This window comes from Homo sapiens, chromosome 2 (genome assembly GCF_000001405.40).
Source record: "Homo sapiens chromosome 2, GRCh38.p14 Primary Assembly".
NCBI lineage: Eukaryota > Metazoa > Chordata > Mammalia > Primates > Hominidae > Homo > Homo sapiens.
Genome location: NC_000002.12, coordinates 219,571,659 through 219,595,809, shown reverse-complemented (window position 1 = coordinate 219,595,809; position 24,151 = coordinate 219,571,659). Strand labels below are relative to the sequence as shown.

The 24,151-nt window shown below is 48.0% G+C and overlaps 1 protein-coding gene and 1 pseudogene across 1 annotated transcript, besides 2 other annotated features; one reads left to right on the top strand and one right to left on the bottom strand.

Annotated features, from left to right (window-relative positions):
* RN7SKP213 (RN7SK pseudogene 213) lies at positions 4,826-5,123 on the top strand (annotated as a pseudogene).
* Positions 18,670-19,245: an enhancer, noted in NCBI's record as "H3K27ac-H3K4me1 hESC enhancer chr2:220441287-220441862 (GRCh37/hg19 assembly coordinates)". NCBI's record gives its function as "activates a minimal SCP1, AML or CMV promoter by ChIP-STARR-seq in naive H9 embryonic stem cells {active_cell/tissue: H9 hESC(naive)}" and the evidence as "EXISTENCE:reporter gene assay evidence [ECO:0000049][PMID:30033119]".
* On the bottom strand, positions 20,099-23,500 carry INHA (inhibin subunit alpha). Its single transcript, NM_002191.4, has 2 exons — positions 23,168-23,500; positions 20,099-21,116 (listed from the first exon to the last, which is right to left on the bottom strand). The coding sequence occupies exons 1-2, from the start codon at positions 23,433-23,435 to the stop codon at positions 20,284-20,286; spliced, it is 1,101 nt and encodes a 366-aa protein (NP_002182.1). The 5' UTR covers positions 23,436-23,500; the 3' UTR covers positions 20,099-20,283.
* Positions 23,509-23,803: an enhancer, noted in NCBI's record as "tiled region #8639; K562 Activating DNase unmatched - State 1:Tss". NCBI's record gives its function as "activates a minimal TATA promoter and a strong SV40 promoter by Sharpr-MPRA in K562 cells {active_cell/tissue: K562}" and the evidence as "EXISTENCE:reporter gene assay evidence [ECO:0000049][PMID:27701403]".

Sequence of the window (24,151 nt, the reverse complement as noted above, 5' to 3'; positions counted from 1 at the left end):
TAATCCCATAACCTGACGATTGTCAGTCCCTGTTTATTAATCATCTGGAACTTAGAAGGGCAGATTCTCCCAAACAGTAACTGCCAACTCTACCCCTCTTAGGCAAGAAACAGATTCTTTTCAAGTCACTGACATTGCAGTGTCTTGAAATCTGTTTCAGCCGTGCCTTTTCAACCCATAGTTATTTTCTGAGAATTGCTCCACCCACATGGGTAGCCCCTGTAGCCAGGTTTGCTCTATATCCCTTTGCTTCTCAGAAACATGGAAGTGGACAAAGGGAGAAGCAAAGAAAGCTGAACTACAGAGGGAGAGAAAAATAGATCTACTAAGGGAAAGCAACAGGAGACTCCGTAGTTCTTGTTTCCCTCCCCCTTGTGAGGCCCACTCTCCTTTCTACCCTTGGCCTGTAGGGGAGGCCTTGGCTGCCTTCCAGAGAATTCTCCCCCGCTTTTTTTTTTTTTTTTTTTTGGCCTAAGTTAATCTGAATGTATTTCTGTAAATTGCTACCATAAGAACTTCAACTAAGACAAAACCTTTACAAAATGAAGTCTAGATTAGCAAATCTAAAAGGGAAAAAAATTCCCATTCATCATAGCAGCCAAAAAATCAATAAATTATAGATATAAATACAAATACACACATGCTTATAATATTTTGAGAAATATGCCAGATCTATGTGAAGAGAACAAGAGAACTTTAGGACATTAAAAATGACCCAGCCAGGCACAGTGGCTCACACCCAAAATCCCAGCACTTTGGGAGGCCAAGGCAAGTGAATCACTTGAGGTTAGGAGTTCGAGATCAGCCTGGCCAACATGGTGAAACCCTGTCTCTACTAAAAGTACAAAAATTAGCCAGGCGTGGTCGCAGGCACCTGTAATCCCAGCTACTCTGGAGGCTGAAGCAGGAGAATCACTTGAACCAGGGAGGCAGAGGTTGCAGTGAGCTGAGATGGCGCCATTGCACTCCAGCCTGGGCAGCAAAAGCAAAACTCCTTCTCAAAAAAAAAAAAAAAAAAAAAATTCTCTTTATTAAAATGGTGTGCAGCCTGGCACGGTGGCTCACGCCTGTAATCCCAGCACTTTGGAAGGCCGAGGCGGGCAGATCACGAGGTAAGGAGATCAAGACAATCCTGGCTAACACGGTGAAACCCCGTCTCTACTAAAAATACAAAAATTTAGCCGGGCGTGGTGGTGGGTGCCTGTAGTCCCAGCTACTCGGGAGGCTGAGACAGGAGAATGGCGTGAACCCAGGAGGCGGAGCTTGCAGTGAGCCGAGATCGCACCACTGCACTCCAGCCTGGGTGACAGAGCAAGACACCATCTCAAAAAAAAAAAAAGTATGCAATGCCATTTCAAAAATTCATGTTGCTGTAAAGTAGCATAACATGTATGGGCTGCTATTACATAATTTCATACTATCATCAATGAGTCTGTGTTTCTCGAAGACATGCTATGATATCACTCTGTTAACTTGCAAACACTCTTCTAAGTTTTAGTCTCCAGGACTGGTACTCCACCTAAAATCAGAAATGTCCAGTTGGTTCTTCTAAGCACCAACACCAGCTGCACATGACAAAGAATTCCTAGCACTCTGGTACTAGGGAGGCACTACTCATCTGCCTGGGGCTCCACGCCCATGTTATTGTGTGGAGAGAGAGCTGCTGCTGGTAGCTTCCCTACCACCCCGAGTTTCCTGGAGTAGGCTGTGCAAAGTGCTGATGATAAAAGAGGGTAAGGAAAGGTGTGCTGGTTACTAGCTTAGGTTTCGGGGATGAAAAGAAGGGAGAAGGCCGGGCGTGATGGCTCATGACTCTAATCCCAGCACTTTGAGAGGCCAAGGCAGGTGGATCACTTGAGGTCAGGAGCTCAAGACCAGCCTGGCCAACATGGCAAAATCCTGTCTCTACAAAAATTAGCCAGGCGTGGTAGTGTGCATCTGTAGTCCCAGCTATTCAGGAGGCTGAGGCAGGAGAATCGCTTGAACCCAGGAGGCGGAGGTTGCGGTGAGCTGAGATCACACTACTGCACTCCAGCCTGGGAGACAGACTGAGACTCCATCTCAAAAAAAAAAGAAAGAAAAGGAAAAAAGAAGGGAGAAGAGAGTATCTTCATACAAGAATGAAGAATGACTGCCAGCCGCATAATATAGATCTCAGATCCTGCTTATTTCTGATACCTTGAACCATGCGAGACCCAGGATCCTTGCCTACAGGGGAACAGAAGTCATATTTCACCTTTAGGATACAAGCCATTGTCCTGGGTCTAGACCTCCCTGTTCTGATGCTGCAGCCCCCAACAGAAGATCAGATAACTGAGACCTACGGATTCCACCAAAATGAAAATGTTACACTTGGGTTGGGGGTGAAGGGGGGTGAAATTGGATGATCTATTTGTTTCATCATCTTGCTATCTTTAGCTGGGCATGGTGGTGGGTGTATGTAGTCCCAGCTATTCAGGAGGCTGAGGCGAGAGGATTGCTTGAGCCCAGGAGTTCAAGGTTGCAGTGAGTTGTGATCACACCACTGCACTCCAGCCTGGGCAACAAGGTGAAAAAACTTGCTATCTTTGTGTAGTAGGAAAGGGGGAAGGATGGAAGAGAATGAAAAGGTATGATTACCTCCAAATATAGTTTTGGTAAAAAGAGTTTGTACCAGAGAGGAATCCGTATGCCTAGTAGCCACAGCCCCAGGATGAGTGGCCGGAGGTAGTTCTTTCTATAAGTAACCTTGGCTCTGCTACTAGACTTGGCCACAAAAGACTGGCCCAGGAATTAACTCAGTTACCAAAGTCAAAAACATACAGGACACATCAGCCACACTGGAGGAGGTCTGGCATGAGAACTCCGAGTTAGACCATGACCAGGCACGCTCATCAGAGCCTGGTTCCGGAAGAGATTTAATTTGAGGCACACAGAGGGAAAGCTGGGGAGGCAGAAACTAAGCTCACCGAGAAATCAGAGAAGCTGGGGCCTGAGAATGACTGACTGAAAAGAAAGCAACAGAATAACAATATTCCAGTGACCCAGCAGCCGCTCCACTCTCCCCTTATGAGAGGAGTTGACCATTCTGCATAAAATAAACTGAGTGCTTCCATGAGGAGCTCTGCAGTAAACCCGACGTTATATGAGAGTGTCTTTAATTATTTTCATTGTCTATCCCGGAAAGCCATGGAACCATTTGAGAAGGGGGTTAAGAAGGGCTATAAGAAAGACCAGAACTATGCGCTTCATTCAGGACACAGGAAATGGAGAGATGAAGACCCGAAGAATATTGTAAATAAGTAAAAAAAAAAAAAAAAAAAAAAAAAAAAAAGAAAAGAATTGGTCTTCAAAGGACAGAAACCTGATAGAAAATATGGATAGAGGTGGCTATGGAGAAGAGAGGAAAGCGGACAGAATCCGAGACAGGAAGGAAAACACAACCTGCTGTTTCAGGCATAACCCGCAGAAGGCTGGTTGGCAAAATCACCTATAGTATGTGACAAGTGTCTTCCATCTCAGTGCTCCCTACACACATGGCCAGAGAGAGGAGGGGAATGATCCACAGCAAGGGAGGAAACTGCACATAGAATAGCAGTCAGCCGAGCGCGGTGGCTCACGCCTATAATCCCAACACTTTGGGAGGCCAAGGCGGGCAGATCACGAGGTCAAGAGATTGAGACCATCCTGGCCAACATGGTGAAACCCCATCTCTACTAAAAATACAAAAATTAGCTGGGCATGGTGGTGCACGCCTGTAGTCCCAGCTACTTGGGAGGCTGAAGCGGGAGAATCACTTGAACCCGGGAGGCGGATGTTGCAGTGAGCTGAGATCATGCCACTGCACTCCAGCCTGGTGACAGAGGGAGACTCTGTCTCAAAACAAACAAACAAACAAAAGAATAGCAGCCAGCCTTGCAGTGTTAAGCATGGGCCAATGGGGGAAAGGAAACGAGAAAACTGAGATCACATGGCTTAGGGTCTCCAGGACTAGGGTAAGCGTAGAGGCTGCTTTGGACGCTCAAAACCTCTGGAGAACCACAAAGCTGGAGCTGTATTTCGGTCTTTTGTTCATTCAACAGGTATTTACTGAGCCCTGACTGTGTGCCAGATCCTGTGTTAGATTCTGGGTGAATAGGCCAGGTGTGGTGGCTCATGCCTGTAATCCCAGCACTTGTTGGGAGGCCGAGAAGGGCAGATCACCTGAGGTCAGGAGTTCGAGCCCCGCCTGGCCAACATGATGAAAGCCCATCTCTACTAAAAATACAAAATTAGCCAGACATGGTGGTGCACGCCTGTAATCCCAGCTACTCAGGAGGCTGAGGCAGGAGAATCACTTCATCCCAGGAGGTGGAGGTTGCAGTGAGCTGAGATCACGCCATTACACTGCAGCCTGGGTGACAAGAGCGAAACTCTGTCTCAAAAAAAAAAAAGGATTCTAGGTAAATACAGGAGACAAAGGTGTTCTTGTTCTCAAGAAGCTAGCCAAGTGGTGGAAGAGCAGACACCACCAGTCATGTTACATTGTATCAGCTTCCTTCTGCTGCTGCAACAGGTTACCCCAAATTTGGTTGCTTAAAATGACAAAATTTATTATCTTTACATTTCTGAAGGTCAGAAGTCCAAAATGGGTCACACTGGGTTAAAATTAAGGTGTCAGCAGGGCTGTGTTCCTTCTTTCTCGCCAGGGGAGAGCCTGTATTCTTTTTTTTTTTTTTTTTTTTTAAGACAGGGTCTCGCTTTGTTGGCTAGGCTGGAGTGCAGTAGTGTGATCATGGCCCACTGCAGCCCCAATCTCCCAGTCTCAACAGATCCTCCTGCCTCAGCCTCCCAAGCAGCTAGGACTGGATGTAAGGGTAATATGACTGCAACTTCTGTCACCCCATTGATCACCAAGGTTGATTCGGCTAATCTGGCTGGCTAGGCGGGTGTCTCCTTCCTCCCTCACCTCTCCATAGGCGTCCCTCCTGAAGCTGTGCGCTCAGTTGAAGAAGATGACCGTCCCCGATAGAGGAGGACTGGTCTTTGGTCAAGGGTATACGAGTACTGTGCACCCCTGCTAGAACCTCCAAACAAGCTCCCAAGTAGCTAGGACCACAGGTGTGCACCACCATGCCCAGCTAATTTTTTATCCTTTGATCTTTTGTAGAGATGGCTTCTTGCTATGCTGCCTATGCTGGTGTTGAACTCCTGGCCTGAAGTGATCCTCCTGTCTCAGGCTTTCAAAGTGCTGAGATTACAGGTGTGAGCCACCATGCCTGGCCAGAGAATCTGTATTCTTGTCTTTTCCAGCTTCAAGAGGCTGCCGTCTTCCCTTGCCTGTGACCCCCTTCCATCTCCAAAGCCAGCAATGGCTGCCTGAGTCTTTCTCACATCACATCACTCTGACACTAACTCTCTTGCCCCTCTCAACATTTAAGGACCCTTGTGATTACACTGGGCCCACCTGGATAATCCAGGATAATGTCCCTACTTTATGGTCAGGCCAGGTGCAGTGGCTCAGATCTGTAATCTCAGCACTTTGGGAGGCCAAGGCAGGTGGATCACTTGAGCCCAGGAGTTTGAGACCGGCCTGGTTAACATGGGGAAACCCCGTCTCTATGAAAACTACAAAAATTAGCCAAGCATGGTGGTATGCACCTACAGTCCCAGCTACTTGGGAGGCTGAGGTGGAAGGATTGCTTGAGCCTGGGAGGTCAAGGCTAAAGTGAGCCATGACTGCACCATTGCATCCAACCTGGGCGACAGAGTAAGACCTTGTCTGAAAAAAAAAAGAAAGAAAGAAAGAAAATGATTTTAAGGTCAGCTGATTAGCAGCCTTAATTCCATCTGTAATTCTCCATTGCCACGTAACATAACATATTCACAGGCTCTGGAGATTCGGATATAGGCATCTTTGGGAGGGGAGCCATTTTCCTGCCTATCACAAACATGGGGCAAGTTATGGTAGAGAGAGCACTGTAGGAGATGGTTCCAGTCCAAGACTGCAAGCTGAATACCTGTCAGAGCCTCTCCCTCCCATCCCAAATGCTTAGAAATAGTAGTCCCACCTTACCCTCAGAGGGTTACTTTCTAAGACCTCCTCCACCACCAATTGGTGCCTGAAACCACAGATAGTACCAAACTCTCTATATACCATGTTTTCCCTACACCAAGGTGTCCAGTCTTTTGGCTTCCCTGGGCCACATTGGAAGAAGAAGAATTGTCTTGGGCCACACATAAAATACACTAACAATAATTGATGAACTTTAAAAAAAATTTCTTTTTTTTTTTTTTTTTGGACACAGAGTCTCACTCTGTTGCCCAGGCTGGAGTGCAATGGCATGATCACTGCTCACTTCAACCTCTGCCTCCCGGGTTCAAGCAATTCTCCTGCCTCAGCCTCCTGAGTATCTGGGATTACAGGCGTGCACCACCACACCCGGCTAATTTTGGATTTTTAGTAGAGACGGGGTTTCACCATGTTAGCCAGGCTGGTCTTGAACTCCTGACCTCAAGTGATCTGCCCGCCTTGGCCTCCCAAAGTGCTGGGATTACAGGTGTGAGCCACCGCGCCCGTCCCTCCTAATGTATTAAGAAAGTTTATGAATTTGTGTTAGGTTGCTTTCAAAGTCATCCTGGGCCACATATGGCCCATGGGCCGTGGGTCAGACAAGCTTGCCCTACACATAGAGACTATGATAAAGCTTACTTTATAAATTAGGCACAGTAGGCTGGGCGCGGTGGCTCAGTCCCGTAATCCCAGCACTTTGGGAGGCCTAGGCGGGCGGATCACCTGAGGTTGGGAGTTCGAGACCAGCCTGACCAACGTGGAGAAACCCGTCTCTACTAAAAATACAAAATTAGCCAGCTGTGGTGGCAGGCACCGATAATCCCAGCTACTCAGGAGGCTGAGGCAGGAGAATCGTTTGAACCTGGGAGGCAGAAGTTGCAGTAAGCCAAGATCGCGCCACTGCACTCCAGCCTGGTGACAGGGTGAGACACTGTCTCAAAAATAAATAAATACATAAAAATATAAATATAAATAGACACAGTAAAAGATTAACAACAATAACTAACAGTAAAATAGAACAATTATAACCATATGCTGTAATAAAAGTTATGTGGATGTGGTCTCTCTCTCAGATTACCTAATTGTACTATGCTCACCTATTTTCAGACCACAGTTGACCACGAGTAACTGAAACTGTCATGGTGTTCGAACCTGAGCGACTCCATCTTTGGTGAGGGCGAAGAAAATGAGGCTGGGACTTGCTGGGCTGCATTTCCAGAAACTTAGGTACTCCTAGCCTCTAGATGTTTACTAAACAGACCCAGATGTGGGAGTGTCCTAATATCCTGATTTTTTTTTTTTTTTTTTTTGAGACAGAGTCTCACTCTGTCACCCAGGCTGGAGTGCAGTGGCGGGATCTTGGCTCACTGCAAGCTCTGCCTCCCAGGTTCATGCCATTCTTCTGCCTCAGCCTCCCAAGTAGCTGGGGCTACAGGCACCCACCACCACGCCCAGCTAATTTTTGTATTTTTAGTAGAGATGGGGTTTCAGCATGTTAACCAGGATGGTCCCGATCTCCTGACCTTGTGATCTGCCCGCCTCAGCCTCCCAAAGTGCTGGGATTACAGGCGTGAGCCACCACGCCTGGCCTCATCCTGATGTTTTGAGAACAGAAGCATTTCTAATTTTGCTTTAAAAATAATAACATTGATTCTTGCAAAATATGTTGATTAAGAAAATTAATCCTTTATCAAAAACCCTTGTAGCAGAGCACATCTCTCCATGATCTTTTTTATCCTGTATATAAACAACTAATGTACCTAGGGTGGACACATTCCTCCTCTTACTTTTGGGAATGCCCGACTCTGTCTATGAAGGATCCGTACTCTCTTGCTCTTTTTATTGAGACAGGGTCGCCCAGGCTGGAGTGCAGTGGCACGATCTCGACTCACTGCAACCTCCACCTCCTAGGTTCAAGTGATTCTCCTGCCTCAGCCTCCCGAGTAGCTAAGATTGCAGGTGCACACCCAGCTAATTTTTGTATTTTTAGTAGAGATGGGGTTTCACCATGTTGGCCAGTCTGGTCTCGAACTCCCGGCCTCAACTGATCCACTCCCTTCAGCATCGCAAAGTGTTAGGATTACAGGTGTGAGCCACTGTGCCCAGCCACCACTTTACTTTCTTAATAAACTTATTTTGGTTTGCACTATGGCCTTGCCCTGAATTCTTTTTTGCATGAGATCCAAGAACCCTCTCTTAAAGGTCTGGATCAGGGCCCCTTTCCTGTGACATCTTTCTGGCAAACCATGGAAGGGGCAATACTGAAGAGATACCTGGCCCAAAGGAAAATCATCTGTGCACCAATTGACTGACTTTAGGTAAGTGGAGTTCATATACCTGGGTAAAGGATGGGATTGGGTTAGAGGCCCAACTTAGGGGAATTAGAATCTCTCCTAAGACAGAATGGGCTAGAAGGCCCTCTTAATAAAAGGGAAGGACACTTGACCAACTTTGGGTTAGAGGCCCAACTTAGGAAGGTTAAAGTCCCTTCTAAAATTGAAGGGGTTAGAGGTCCCTCTCAGTAACGTCCCTCTTGGCGAAGAATGGGTTTGGCACCACAGGATGTTAACTGCCATGCTCTTTGTATTAATCTGCCTTGTCCTATTCACTGCATGAATCAATTTATTGGTGCTGTCTCTGTTTCACTGTCATTTTCAGGAGACTTTATTTAACTGGTCTTAGGGATTTTAACATACTCTTCCCCTCCGTGCCTCCCAATATCCGTTCGTTTGCTTGTGAAACATTGGGAACAAGAAAGCATTGAAGCCTCCATCTCTAAAATTCCTGATTGAGACTGGGTATTTAATAGCTATGAGCAGTAAGATTAGACAGATGTGGTTATGTTTTAATGCCGCTATGCCTACTAGGTGTGATCTAGAAGCACTAGGATGGAAATCAGGGGACTTTTCTCCTTGCTGTTTTGTTTCATTTTGCACACTAAAAAAACACTTCTTTGCTTTCTTGGATTTGGCCAAACCAGCTTTGCTTGTCCAATCCACACTGCCACTATTGCCCAGAACCTGCTTGCTCTGGTCATTCCCATCGAAATCCTCTTTATTTCCTTTGCCTTGTTCAACATTTCTTTCGTCAGAGTCCATGTTGTGGTTTATCTAAGATTCATGGCTCAGCTCACTTATATTATCTGGATAGTTAAATAAGAGAATTCAATTTTTGGCAGGGATCCCCTCATTAATGGGGCTGGCTTTAAAAACCTCTGTTATCCTTTTTAGTGGAACTCAGCCAGTGGCAATACAATCCTGCAGGTTTGGAACTTTTCTTTCAACATCACCTGCCTCTTACATGGGCACCACGGCATCCATCCCAAAGGACTCCCCACTAGGATGTATTCTTGAACATTGGGACCAGTTTAAACTAAATGGGCTTAAGAAGAGAAAACTGGTGTTTCTATGTAATACTGTTTGACCTTGGTGTTATTTGGAAAAACAAGAGAAATGGCCTCCTACTGGTACTATGGCCTTTAAAACTATACTTCAACTCGATTTGTTATGTAAGCGGGAGGGAAAATGGGATGAAATACCATATGTTCAAGCATTTTTGCTGCTCAATCAGGATGAAACCCTGCAGCGGGTGCATGCGTGTTCGATGAGAGGAAAGGAAGAAAAAGAACTAGACATATTTGATGATCCTTTGACATAAGCCCTATCCCCAGTTCAGTGGGCATTTTTGGGTGGAGCAGAATCCCCTTCTATCAGCTCTGAAGGTTCAGGTTTTGTCCGTCCTTTCTCCCTCTAGTCCACCTGAAAGTTCTATTCAGAACCCTTGGTCCCCTCCTCCTGACCTGCCTAGTCCCACTCTATACCCACCACTCCCTGAGGAATTTGGCCCCTCGAGTACTACTCGTAGTGGAGCCTCTTATCAACCTCTGAAGGGAAACCTTTTCCCCTTAGAGAGGTGGCAAATGGGGAAGAAGGCACTGTGTGAGAGGATATGTCTCCTTTTCTATGTCTGAATTGGCTCTATGTAAAGAGAAGTTTGGTCATTTCTCTGAAGATTCAAGAAAATTCCTAGATGCGTTTGAGAAACTAACTTCGACCTATGGTGTAACTTAGCAGGAGCATGTTTCGTTGTCTCTGTGTTGCACAGTGGAAGAAAATCCATTGTGGGGACAGCTAGGACTCATGTGGATGAGGTATTGGCTCCAAACCCGAACCATAATGTATATCAGGCAGGAGGTATAGCAGTTCCAGATCAAGATCCAGAATGCGGCTGGGCACGGTGGCTCACGCCTGTAATCCCAGCACTTTGGGAGGCCGAGGTGGGCAGATCACCTGAGATCAGGAGTTCAAGACCAGCCTGGCCAACATGGCAAAACCCCATCTCTACTAAAAATACAAAAAAATTAGCTGGGCGTGGTGTGGGCACCTGTAATCCCAGCTACTTGAGAGGCTGAGGCAGGAGAATTGCTTGAACCCAGGAGATGGAGGTTGCAGTGGGCTGAGATCATGCCATTGCACTCCAGCCTGGGTGACAGAGTGAGATTCTGTCTCAAAAAAAAAAAAAAAAAAAAAAAAAAAAAGATCCAGAATGGAACTATCAAAGGAGCAGTGAGGACTTGGGGAGGAGAGATCATATGGTTACTTGTTTGTTGGAAGGGATGAAGAAATGTATAAAAAAGCCCGTTAACTGTGAAAAGGACACCAGGGCCTGTCAGGGGTGACGTGGGGAGGGAGAGGATTAGGACAAATACCTAATGCATGTGGGGCTTAAAACCTGGATGACAGGTTGATAGGTGCAGCAAACCACCATGGCACGTGTATACCTGTGTAACAAACCTGCACATTCTGCACATGTATCCCAGAACTTAAAGTAAAATTAAAAATAAATAAATAATAAATAAGTAAAATAAAATAAAAAATAAAAGGTTAAGGAAGTTTGTCAGGGTAAAGATGAGAATCCAGCTTTGTTTCAAGGGTGTTTCATTGAGGCAATTAGAAAATATACTAACACTGATCCTGCCTCCAAGGAAGGATAAACCCTTTTGGGAGTACATTTTATAGGCCAGTCTGCCCCTGATATCCGTAGGAAACTACAAAAAACAGCTATGGGTCCCCAGACTCCTATGGAACAGCTTTTGGATGTGGCATTTTTTAGTTTTTAATAACAGGGACAAAGCAGAGGAAGCAGAAAGAGCAGGAAGTACCTCCCACAAGGTGCAGTTCCTGGCTGTAGCCCTAAGCTCACCTTCCACATGGGGTTGCCCTCCTGGCTGTTGGCCTGAACAAGGGAAGCTGAAAGGTGGGAAGCCCAAAGCTGGGTGTCCGAGTCACCGTGCCTTGGGTGTAAATCAGTGTGCACACTGTAAGAAAACTGGCCATTGGAAGAAGAACTGCCAAGTGCTTCGACGGGAGCCGTCGGCACCTGAAACAATGATGGCTGGAACAGCCAGACCAGCTCAAGAGTGACGGGACCGGGGACCTTCTGCCACAGCCCCTGTCGGACAACTACATATATCTCCAGAGGAGCCTTGGGTAACCCTTGACGTGGCAGGTAAGAATATTAACTTCCTTTTGGATATGGGGGCTGCTTACTCTGTTTTGACCCATTGTAACGGGCCTCTGTCACCCCAAAACTGTATGGTCATGGGGATAGACGGACAAGCTTATAGACACCATTTTACCTATCCTTTAAGCTGCTCTTCAGGGACTTTGGTTTTCTCATATACTTTTCTTTTCATGCCCCACCCGCTTGTTGGGAAGGGATTTGTTTACTCAGCAGCAGTGGTATCTTTTGGTTTTTTTGTTTGTTTGTTTGAGACAGAGCCTTACTCTGTTGCCCAGGCTGGAGTGCAGTGGCGCCATCTCAGCTCACTGCAACCTCCACCTCCCAGGTTCAAGCGATTCTCCTGCCTCAGCCTCCCAAGTAGCTGGGACTACAGGTGAGCACCACCATGCCTGGCTAATTTTTATACTTTTAGTAGAGACAGGGTTTCACCATGTTGGCCAAGCTGGTCTCAAACTCCTGACCTCAGGTGATCCACCTGCCTTGGCCTCCCAAAGTGCTGGGATTACAGGTATGAGCCACCATGCCCGGCCACAATGGTATCTTTTGGAAACCACCAGGCAGACAAGGGATTGCTCTTTCTCCTTTCCTGTGATAAAGGAGGAAAAGCAATAGGGGACTTATCTACTTTACCTATTGAAGTAACCCCCCAAGTAAATCCTATACTATGAGACACTAAGATTCCAGGCAAAACGTTAAATGTTCCCCCAGTTTACATCCAACTTAGGCCTGGTGTCCCATACCCCTGGAAAAGACTTACTTAAAACAGTAAAGCAGGTAACTGAGGCCTGTGAACTATGTGCCTGGAATAACCCAAATAACCAATCTTTATCTCCTTCTTTAGTAAGGCCTGTTCAGCATAAGGGAATGTACCCTGGTGAAGATTGGCAAAGAGATTATACTAAGATGCCCCCATGTAAAAGGTTTAAATATTTATTAGTATTCATTGACACCTTTACTGGTTGGATTGAGGCTTTTCCTATGAGGTCCGAAAAGGCAATTGAGGTTTCTAAATTCCTATTAAAGGAAATAATTCCTAAATTTGGGCTGCCTAAGAGCTTGCAGAGGGATAATGATCCATCTTTCACAGCAATGATTACCCAAACATATCTTCAGCCCTAGTAATTCAGTACCGCCTTCACTTGGCATGGAGGCCACAATCTTCAGGGACAGTAGAAAGAGCCAATCAAACTCTAAAAAGGACTCTTCCTAAACTATGCCAAGAAACATCATAAACCTGGCTATCTTTATTTCCCATAGCCTTGTTACAGATTCCAGCAGCCCCCAAGGGAAAGTTGCAGCTCAGCCATATTGAAATAACATATAGAAGGCCTTTCTTAACTACAGACCTCCTAATAGACATAGATACTTTCAAGCTACAAAATTATGTAATCAACTTAGGACAAGTGCAAAATGCACTCCTTCAATATGGAAATCAAAGACTCCCTTCCCCCACTAAGGAAGAGACTCTAGTTACAACCCAGCCAGGAGATTGGGTTCTATAAACACTTGGAAGGAAGGATCCCCAGCAGATCAACTTTTCCCAAAATGGAAGGGACCCTATCAAGCTCTCCTTAGCACCCCAACTGCAGTTAAATGGGAATAAACAGCTGGGGCCATTTATCTCAAATTAAACCTGTCTCTTATAAAGTCCCACAGGCTGACAGAACACAAGAGACTGATCCCACTTATTCCTGTGAGCCAACCAGTGACCTCTGGCTCCTGTTCAGAAGAAAAGAAAGGGCTGGGTAACGTAAGGATATGGATTGGCATTCTGCTTTTGAGTACAAGTTGGAATCACGCAGAGTAACTTATTTATCGAGTGGGCACAGGCTTTAGCCTCTACATAATCAGACCAACTGTTGGGTACGTGGAGAATTGCCCCTTCCTTCCGCTTCCAGATTGCCCTGGCATATTCAACCGGCCAACCAAATTTATGGAGATTTTATTATGATTGGGAAACTGAATATTATAAACGTAGTCCCTCTTTTCCCATGTATCATAGCCACACAGGCCATAGCCCCTTCCCCTCCTGTGGAGAGACAAGAAGGCACCTTTTTAATCTAATTAGGAAACAGCTAAACTCCATCCCAACTTTAGGTTATGCTATACTTGATGAACTTGGGCAAATGACAGCTGTTCAAGTGCAGGTATTGAGCAAAGTGCCTCTGTGTTTTTTGTTTGTTTGTTTGTTTGTTTTTGAGACGGAGTCTCACTCTGTCGCCCAGGCTAGAGTGCAGTGGCACGATCTTGGCTCACTGCAACCTCTGCCTCCTGGGTTCAAGCCATTCTCCTGCCTCAGCCTCCCAAGTAGCTGGGACTACAGGTGCGTGCCACCACACCCGGCTAATTTTTTGTATTTTTAGTAGAGACAGGGTTTCACCGTGTTAGCCAGGATGGTCTCGATCTCCTGACCTCATGATCCACCTGCCTCAGCCTCCCAAAGTGCTGGGATTACAGGCATGAGCCACCGCACCCAGCCACACCTCTATGTTTTGAAAGGTGCAGTAATAGTCACCACCAGACTGGAACCCATGATACGGGATGGCTGCCACCTCAACAATGTAATCAGGCTGGAGTGCAGTGGTGCCATCAGGCTCACTGTAGTCTCGACCTCCCTGGCTTAAGCAATCATCCCACCTCAGCCTCCCAAGTAGCTGGGACTACAGGCATGCACCACCATGCCTGGCTAATTTTTTAAATTTTTATGCAGAAACAGGATCTTGGCATGTTGCCCAGACTGGTCTTGAATTCCTGGGCTCAAGCAACCTCCCTTAGCCTCCCCCAAATGCTGGGATTATAGGTGTGAGCCACTGCACCTGGCCAACAGAAATAATTTTGTCTCCTCAGGAAGTATGCTTGAGGAGTGGAGGAGAGGTAATATGATATAGTGGTGGATACATGGATTCTTATACCAGACTTGTGGAGTCCAAATCCTGGCTCCATCACTTACTAGGGATGTGACTCTGGATAGGTTTTTTCATTTTTGTTTTTGTTTTGAGATGGAGTCTCGCCCCGTCGCCCAGGCTGGAGTGCAATGGCACAATCTTGGCTCACTGCAACCTCTGACTCCCTAGTCCAAGCGATTCTCCTGCCTCAACCTCCCGAGTAGCTGGGATTACAGGCATGTGCCACCACGCCCAGCTAATTTTTGTATTTTTAGTAGAGACGGGGTTTCACCATGTTGGCCAGGATGGTCTCGATCTCCTGACCTCATGATCTGCCCACCTCAGCCTCCCAAAGTGCTGGGATTATAGGAGTGAGCCACTGCTCCCAGCTAGGTTATTTTATCTCTCTGTGCCTCAGTTTCCTCTACTGTGCAATAGGTATAATATGAGTGCCTACCTCAAATGGTTGTTACAAGGATTGCATGAGCTTTTAGTTCTAACATGCATAAGGCACATAGTGCTGTATAAGTGTTCAGTATATAAATAATAAAATTGCTGGGCACGGTGGCTCACACCTGTAATCCCAGCACTTTGGGAGGCAGAGGCAGGCAGATCATGAGGTCAGGAGATCGAGACCAGCCTGACCAATATGGTGAAACCCTGTCTCTACTAAAAATACAAAAATTAGCCGGGCCTGGTGGCGTGTGCCTGTAATCCCAGCTACTCAGGAAGCTGAGGCAGGAGAATCACTTGAACCCGGGAGGCAGAGGTTGCAGTGAGCCAAGCTTGCGCCACTGCACTCCAGCCTGCATGACAGAGTGAGACTCCATCTCAAATAATAATAACAATAATAATAATAATAAAATTAACAAAAGGATCTTATTTCTGGCTGGGTTTGGTGACTCACGCCTGTAATCTCAGAACTTTGGGAGGTCAAGGAAGGAGCATCATTTGAGACTATGAATTCAAGACCAGCCTGGGCAATATAACAAGCCCATCTCTACAAAAAAAAAATTAATAAATAAAATTAAATAATAGAATCTTATTTCTTTCAAGCGGAGGAATATAATTGCTAAGAAAATAAAGCTAATAGACTGGAAAATAAGGTCAAAACAAACTCGTAGAATATAAAGTAAAATAGTGGCAGCCCCATACACATGGCATGACACCATTCGTGGGGGGAGAAAAGACTTTTTCTACCAGATACGCACATGGGTGTCAACTCATGGAAATGTGTCTAGAAGGATACCTGCCTCTGTGGAGGGGACTAGAATTGGAAATAACGATCAAGGGGAACTTCAGTTTTATCTTTAATATTTGAATATCCACTGTGAGAATGTATCTCTTTGTGGCTTATGAAATCAAGAACAAGTAATTTTTTGAAATAAAAATTTTAAAACAGGCCAGGTGCAGTGGCTCAGGTCTGTAATCCCAGCACTTTGGGAGGCCGAGGCGGGCAGATCATGAGGTCAGGAGTTCGAGACCAGCCTGACCAACATGGTGAAACCTCATCTCTACTAAAAATACAAAACTTAGCCGGGCGTGATGGCACGCACCTGTAATCCCAGCTACTCAAGAGGCTGAGGCAGGAAAATCGCTTGACCTGGGAGGCGGAGGTTGCAGTGAGCCGGGATTGCGCCATTGTACTCCAGCCTGGGTGACAGAACGAGACTCTGTCTCAAAAAAAAATTAAAAAACAAAGTGCCCAGGAAGTAGTGAAGAAGGGGTGAAGAGCTTTGCCATCTGGGAGTGAAGGGGAGGATCACAGAAAACGTGACATCAGAATTGGATCTTAAAGGAAGCACTGAGGTAGGAGCACAGCCGCTCATGCCTGTAATCCCAGCACTTCGGAAGTTGAGATGTGAAGATTGCTTGAGTTCCAGGAGGTCAGAGCTGCAGTGAGCCAAGATCATGCCACTGCATTCCAGCCTGGGTGACAGAGCCAGACCCTGTCTTGAAACAAAACAAAACAGAAAAAAAAGAGGTGTTGCTAAAGACATGGGCCCTTGAGAAGAACATTTTGTATCTGGAATTTGTGTCACCAGAGTTTGGGTGATGTGTTGGGTGGGGAGAGGAAAGGAGGACTGGGTAGATCAGGCTGCAAGGAAAGGGTTAGAGTTGGTTATCAAGGGCTTTCCGACCACATGAAGGAGGCTGAACTTTGTGGAGACAATTTTTTAAGCCACCCTAAGTAACATGATCACATCAGAAAAATCCTGTGTCAGCCATGTTGAGGGTGGATGGAGGGCAGGGAGTGACTGGTTTAGGAGGCTGCTAAATTGCCCAATCAAGAATTGCAAAATAGTGTCTACGTAAGGAGAGACAAAGCGGTTGATTTGAAAGATACTTAGGAGGAACAACAAACAATACTTGCTTCTCAGTATCTACCCCACCTTTTTGTGGTAACTGTCCCCTGCTTTGGGGACATCACCTTTTTTCACTTTTAGCCCTTATGCTTTAGGCTCGAGGCTCTATGGGGAGGACAAGTGACCTAGGCTAAGGCATTAACGCAGGCCACCTTTCCTGGAGTAGCACATGACATTAATAAATCTAATCAGGCCATCAAGACCTGTCCTAGGACTTTTGTTTTGTTTTGCATTGTTTTAAATAGAGACAAGGTCTCGCTTTGTTGCCCAGGCTGGTCTTAAATTCCCGGCCTCATACAATTCTCCTGCCTTGGCCCCCCAAAGTGCTGGGATTACAAGCATGAGCCACTGTGCCTATCTTTGTCCCAGGACTTTTGTAAGTGAACTCCCTCCTGCCGGACCAAGCTGCATAATGATGGGAGCCTGTGCTGCCTGGAGTTGCCATGGACCCAGGATGGAGCTGATCTGGGGGGAACTAGAGCCTATAGATGGATCCTAGTAGCATCTTTTGAGCCCAGAATTGAGCCATACCTTAGCTAGCTGTGCCTGTGGATTTATCATGAGCCAATGAGCCAGTGCTGGTGAGTTTTAAAAACTTTTTTTTTTTTTTTTGAGAGGAAGTCTCAGTCTGTCACCCAGGCTGGAGTGCAGTAGCGCGAACTCTGCTCACTGCAAGCAAGCTCCGCCTCCTGAGTTCAAGTGATTCTCCTGCCTCATCCTCCCAAGTAGCTGGGATTATAGGCAAGTGCCACCATGCCCGGCTAATTTTCATATTTTCTGTAGAGATGGAGTCAGAACTCCTAACCTCAGGTGATCCGCCCACCTCAGCCTCCCAAAGTGCTGGGATTACAGGCGTGAGCCACCGCGCCTGGCTTAAATACACTTTTTGATCTAATCCAGTTGGAGCTGGGTTTTCTGTTTAAACTGACTCCAAACTAAGAGTATTCACAGTACGTCCCTAATGATTAGCATTGGGAACAGGGATCATCTTTGAAATTCACTGCTCTTGGGCTGGTGTCTTGATGAGGATAGAAAACAAAACGATGTCCGTAGCCACTGTGGAGCCCCTCTTAGGGATCTGTGAACATCTTTCCTAATTTGCTGCGTTAGCAGAATCTAGGTATTAGAGACCTTAGAAGGAGTGGCTCCGAACAGTGACTGTCAGACATTGGGATCTCACAGATTTCACAGGGCAACAAAATTCCAAAGAAAAATCTTACATTCCAAACTGGAATTGCCAAGTTTAAATTTTGTTGGGTAGAAATGCAAACAAACAAAACCACTACTTTCTACCCTCTTCATAACATCATGAAAGAGCTAACACTGTCACACACCCACAAGCAGAAAAGGTAATGGGTAGCATTGAAAGATAGCCTTTATAAAATGAATATATTTGGCTTTGTGAAAGACTCCCTCATACTCATTTTTCTCATTTTGTCTCAGACATGTGCACGCTTTTCACTTGCAATACCAATCTGCTAACTGGCCTCGTGGAGAATCCTGTACCCCTCAGTAATCTGCCCCCAGCCCTCAGCGCCCATCCTCATCCCTGGGACAGGGAGCATCTGGATAACACAGGGTTCTAGGGGGCCCCAGCAGGAAGAATGAAGAGCTGAAGCCTAGTAGGAAAATTGAAGATCCCAGGGAAAGACCTCACTGTTTGGGAAGGGAGGATCTAGCCAGAGAAGCCAGGCAGGGAGCACGTAGAACATAGACAGGCTTGGAAAAAACCTCCCCTTCCCACCACTGGCAGAGCCCAAGCAGCTGTCTCCCCAGCCCACTGCCTGAATAGGGATGCACAGAGCTCTGAGCACAGAGCGCTTCCAATGCTGAGTCAACACGAAGGTCCTGGGAGAGGCTGGGGACTGCAAACAAGCAGGTTTCCCCCTCCAGAACAGTGACAGCCTTCTGGGGGACTCAGTGTCAACAGAGACTGGGGCGTGTACAGGAGCACGTACATGGCTCTGAAGGCTCCTGTGCTGCAGGGAACAGTGGCTCATTCAGGTTAGCTCCGGTGGGGGAGGGGTGTTGGTGTAACTGTGACGGGATAGGATTCTTTCCCGCTGCACCGCTCACTGGAGCAGGCGCTTACCCTTCCACCCCATCAAGCCAGGCTGGTAGAAAGGAGTCTTTGACCAGTAAAAGACTCTGGTTAGATAAATACACACTGTAGTTGTGCAGTCAATATCAGAAAGTGCTCTCAAGTTCCAGTCTGATGGACCTGAACATCCCAGCCCTTCCCCTAAACACACACACACAAACACACACACACACACACACACACACACACGTGTTGGAGACTGGATGGAACCAGTGGCTGATAGCAGGGACCCTGGGGTGGAGCACAAGGATAACGAGACCCAGGGGGATAACAAGGAGAGTGAAAAAAGCAGGGAGGAAGGCCAGCGGAGAGGGGCTTCCCCATGCCCAAATCCGGAGGCAGAATGGACTGATAGGAAACGCAATGAAAAAAGAAAAGTGCTGTTTTGCACCATGTCCTGCATGCACAAATTCACAAAAGAGCTTTTCTATTTTCTGGCAATAGCCTCAGTCTTTCCACTCTTCTGATGCTAAGGGCTGAGTTAAGGGATTATGTAAACATGTACAGGTGACATCAAGGGAGACAAAGAGTTCATGAACTAGAATCCTACTGCAGGAGGCCTCACGGAGTCTACAGCAAGAGTCAGTGACGGATTCAAAGAAGGGCCTTTGGCAAAAGGAAATCCTCAGGTCTTTGGTCAGGTGATCTGTCTGACCTTAACACAACACCACCTCTTTGCCCTTGTTAATTTCTTTCTGATGCTGCCAACACATATATCTCTCCCTTACATCCCACCCAAGCTTCCCAAGTAACTCCAAGGTCTGGCCAACTCTGGACAATTGTCTCAGTGGGACTCCAAAGGCCACAGTCTCTGGCCAGGCTACAAATCACCTGACCTCGGGCTAAGTGCCCATCAGCTGTGGCAGAGAATGGCAGGGGAGGGGACTTATGGCTGCCTTGGATGTGGTCATGTGAGTGCAGCAGTCTCCCTTAGGTGTGCAGGGCAGGCAACCTGATTGACATGTCTGGTTCAGCTTGCATGCGTCCAGCTCTGTCTCCAAGGTGGCTCTCCAAGGAGCTTGGAGCACTATTATGTCACCCCCAAGCGTTGTAGATTCCCAACCAATACACATCCAGTTATAGCTCTTGAACTTCATGTCTCTGAGGTCAAGTGTGGCTGAGTGACCTGAGATCTGACAGTCCCATGCTCCTGGGGGCCCAACTCCATATCAGAGAAGCTGGAGAACATATGTCAAGTCATATGCACTGTGTTCTTTATTGAGATAGAAGTGGGGTGGGGAGGGTAGCCCATAGGCAGAGAAGTGAAAGGAGGGAGGAGTGGGAGCCATCTATTTCCCAACTCTGCCTTTCCTCCCAGCTGATGATGGTGGGGGCGTGGCCACCAGCCATGGGATTAAGAAGGAAGACCCCCCACCCTTAGATACAAGCACAGTGCTGCGTGAGAAGGTTGGGCACTGTCTCATACTTGAAAGAGTAACCTCCATCCGAGGTGGTGCGGACATGTAGGGGCCTCATGGTCCCTGGGAGAGCAGCACAGCAGGGCTGGGCCCCTGGCAGCAAGGAGTAGGGCTGGGCTGGGGTAGGGGGAGCCCCAGGGACTGGAAGGGACAGGTTTGGTGGGATGTGCAGCCCACAACCACCATGACAGTAGTGGAAGATGAAACTGGGAGGGTACACGATCCACCGTTCCCAGCCCAGCTCCTGGAAGGAGATGTTCAGTGCTACTCTGTGGCAGTTGGCATGGGCAGCCGGTTCCTCCGGAGGCCTCTGCAGCAGGCGCAGAGCAGAGGGAGACCAAGGCCAGGACATCAGGGGAGTTGAGCGTCGGGCTCTCTCCCCTCCACTGGGTGGTCTGGTCCGAGTGTGGGCCACCAGGAAGGGCGTGGCCTCAGGCCGGGCTGAGCAGGTACAGAGGGGACAGCGCAGCAGCAGCACCAGGACGGGGTGGGTCAGCAGAGAGAGAGCAGAGGTGGCCAGGTGCAGCACGGCCCAGTGAGGGGGAGCATGGCCCAAAGACATGGGCACAGCCACGGGTCCTCCCGGTGACAGTGCCAGCAGGCCTAGCAGGGGCTCAGAGCTATTGGAGGCTGCTGTGCCCTGCCTGTCCAGCCCGGTGTGGAACCACAGCTGGGCTGAAGTCACCTGGCGGCTGCGTGTATGCTGGGATGGCCGGAACATGTATCTGAAGAGGCCCTCCTCAGCCTCCTGGGCCAGCCCTCTGGCAGCTGACTTGTCCTCACAGCTGGCATCTGCAGGAGACAGAAGAAAAGGGAGAGGGCAGCCCTGACTGGCAGGACCTGGCACCCCTCCTCTTCAGCAGGAGGGATGTGGCCACCAGTCATGAGCCAATGATGGGCTGCACTCTGCTCCACGCCCTCCGGGACGTGGGGACTCTCCTGAGTTTTGGGAGAGCTTCTGTAGGCTTCCCATTTTTTAATTTCATCATGAAGGGACTTAAAAAAATAGAAGACATTGCCAACTTCTCTCTGAAGTGGTTTTACCAATTAACATGCCCATCAGCAGTGTGTAAGAGGCCCTCTCTCCACTTCACCAGCACTAAGACTTTGTATTAGACTTCAATGCTTACTCACCAGATAGTGTGAAACAGTATCCTGAATGGTGTCTACATGGATGGTTGTTATATTCTTTTTTTTTTTTTTTTTTGAGACAGAGTCTTACTGTGTCACCCAGGCTGGAGTGCAGTGGCATGATCACGGCTCACTGCAGCGTCTACCTCCTGGGCTCAAGCAATCCTCCCACCTCAGCCTCCTGAGTAACTGAGACCACAGGCGTGTGCTACCACACCTAGCTAACTTTTGTGGGTTTTGTAGAGACAGGGTCTCGCTATGTTGCCCAGGCTGATCTCAAACTCCTGAGCTCAAGCAATCTGCCTGCCTTCACCTTCCAAAGTGCTGGGATTATAGGCGTGAGCCATCACACCCAGCCATATTACCATTTTTTTTTTTTTTTTGAGATGGAGTCTAGCTCTGTCGCCCAGGCTGGAGTGCAGTGGCGCCATCTCGGCTCACTGCAACCTCTGCCTTCCGCTCCGCCTCCCACGTTCAAGCAATTCTCCTGCCTCAGCTTCCCGAGTAGCTGGTGCCACCATGCCTGGCTAATTTTTTGTATTTTTAGTAGAGACGGGGTTCACCATGTTAGCCAGGATAGTCTCGATCTCTTGACCTTGTGATCCTCCTGCCTTGGCCTCCCAAAGTGCTGGGAGTACAGACGTGAGCCACCGCGCCCGGCCTATATTACTCTTTATATCTTTGGCATGTCAGGAATATTGTAGGATAAATTCTTTAAAATAATTCCATTTTTAAAAGACAGGTTTACACCAAAAAAAAAAAAAAAAGAAGAAGGAGGGAAAGGCAAGTGGGAAAGGGAAGAAAATGGAGAACAAGGAAGAGGGGGAAGAGAAGGAGGAGGGCTGTAACTCAGAACAGAGGGCAGTCCTTTCAAGAATGTGTAGTTAGCATCCTCACACTGACACACTCATAGACTATACTAATCATCCTGGAGCAGCACTCGTTCATGGACTGGCAATTGGAACTATACTGTTACATGGCTTCTCTCATTATCTAGTCACAATTGGTCCATTTTGCAGATAAGGAAACTGAGGCTTAGAGAGGTGAAATGACGTTCAACGACTAAGTGGCCAGGCTTGGATTTTGCCTGATCCCAAAGCCATCCTTCTCCCCACTGTGCTGCGAACGGACTGAAGTGAGGGAGGCAGGGGTCCTCTCTAAGAGAAAGGTGGACCAGATGACAAGAAAGCCCACCCACAGGAGGGCTTATCCATTCAGTCAGTGGAACAAGGGGGCACATATATGTTGAGACAGGAACTCAAGAGAAGATAGACTAGTTTTCCAGAAAAGTTTCCCAACTAATCTTTTGCCTGTATCTCTGATAGCTTCTCAGTGTCAGCTACCTGGGAGTAAAGAAACAGGGTTTGGAGCAGCGAGCAGAGGCAGAGATAGGAGGAAAGGTGGCAGGAAGGGGCTCAAGCCCAAATATCTCCATCTTTAGAGACCCCCGGTCTCCCAGCGCATACTTCCCAAATGCCTCCCACCTGCCATGCACTCTAGGTACAGCCTCTCACTTAATCCTGAGAGGTGGGCATTAGCCCATTTTACAGATGGGGAGACAGAAGCATAAGGAAGTTTAGTAACTGGCCTATTGCTGCAAAGCAACTGAGTAGCAGGACTAGGATTCAAACCCAGGTCCGCCTGGCCTGCAAACCCATGCTGTGCCTTGCTTTTTCTCAAAGTCATCCTGCCGGTTCCCCCACCCTCGTTACCTGTGGCTGGGAAAAGGATGGCTTGGGAGACATCCTCCTCTTCCTCGGGCTCAGAGCCCCTGTGTGTGAAGCCCCCCAGGGCATGTCTTCGGGGCAGCCGCCTGACTCCAGGGTCCCCACCTTCCCTGGTCACCGCGGGGGGCCCCAAGGCATCCAAGAACAGGGCCCTCACCTTGGCCAGAACAAGTTCCCGGGCCAGCTCCAGCCCCTGGCAGCTGTGCCCACCCTGTGGGGTCAGCAGCAAGAAGAGCAGTAGGTGCAGCACCATAGCTCACCTGGCCCTGCTAGTGGGGAACTCACACCCTGCCCCGTGCCCCTTCTGCCAGGGTCTGCCCAGGGCCTTTCCACTCTCCCCTCCCCATCCCACACCCACCCTCTTCTACCCTTCTCATCCAGTCTTCCCCAGTCCTTTCCACGCCCCACAGTCCGAGTTGCCCCTGCCCGTGGCATTGAGACCTCCTATCTCTGACGCAGATGTCTGTGGCCATGAGCCTTATCTCCCACTCCCGCCAGGGATGTGGGGGAGGGGCTGGGAAGGATTTCGCCTCAAGCGACCTGACTCACACATGCAAACATACAACACCTTCTCCCTACACACACACACACTCACACACACACTCACACACACACTCACACACACACAAATTCTCACACACACACACTCTCTCACACACACACACACAGACACATCCAGAGGTGACATCAGGTGGGACAGGAGCCTGGGAGCTGTAGCCGGCCAGCCCCAGAAAGTGTTATTTGTCAGGGAGACAAAGTGCATCACCCCTCAGACCTTCTGGGGCCCCTTTCAATAAGCAGCTGCTGGCCGGCCAGCCCTTGGGGGCAGGGCTGGAACCGGGGCTAGAACCGGGGCTAGGGCCGGGGGCAGGTGGTCCTGCCTGCTCTATACTTAGACCAGTGGAGCCAGTCTGGGCTCTTGTCCTCCAGCTGTGTCATCAGAGAATATTTTTGGGATTGGCAGCTGCA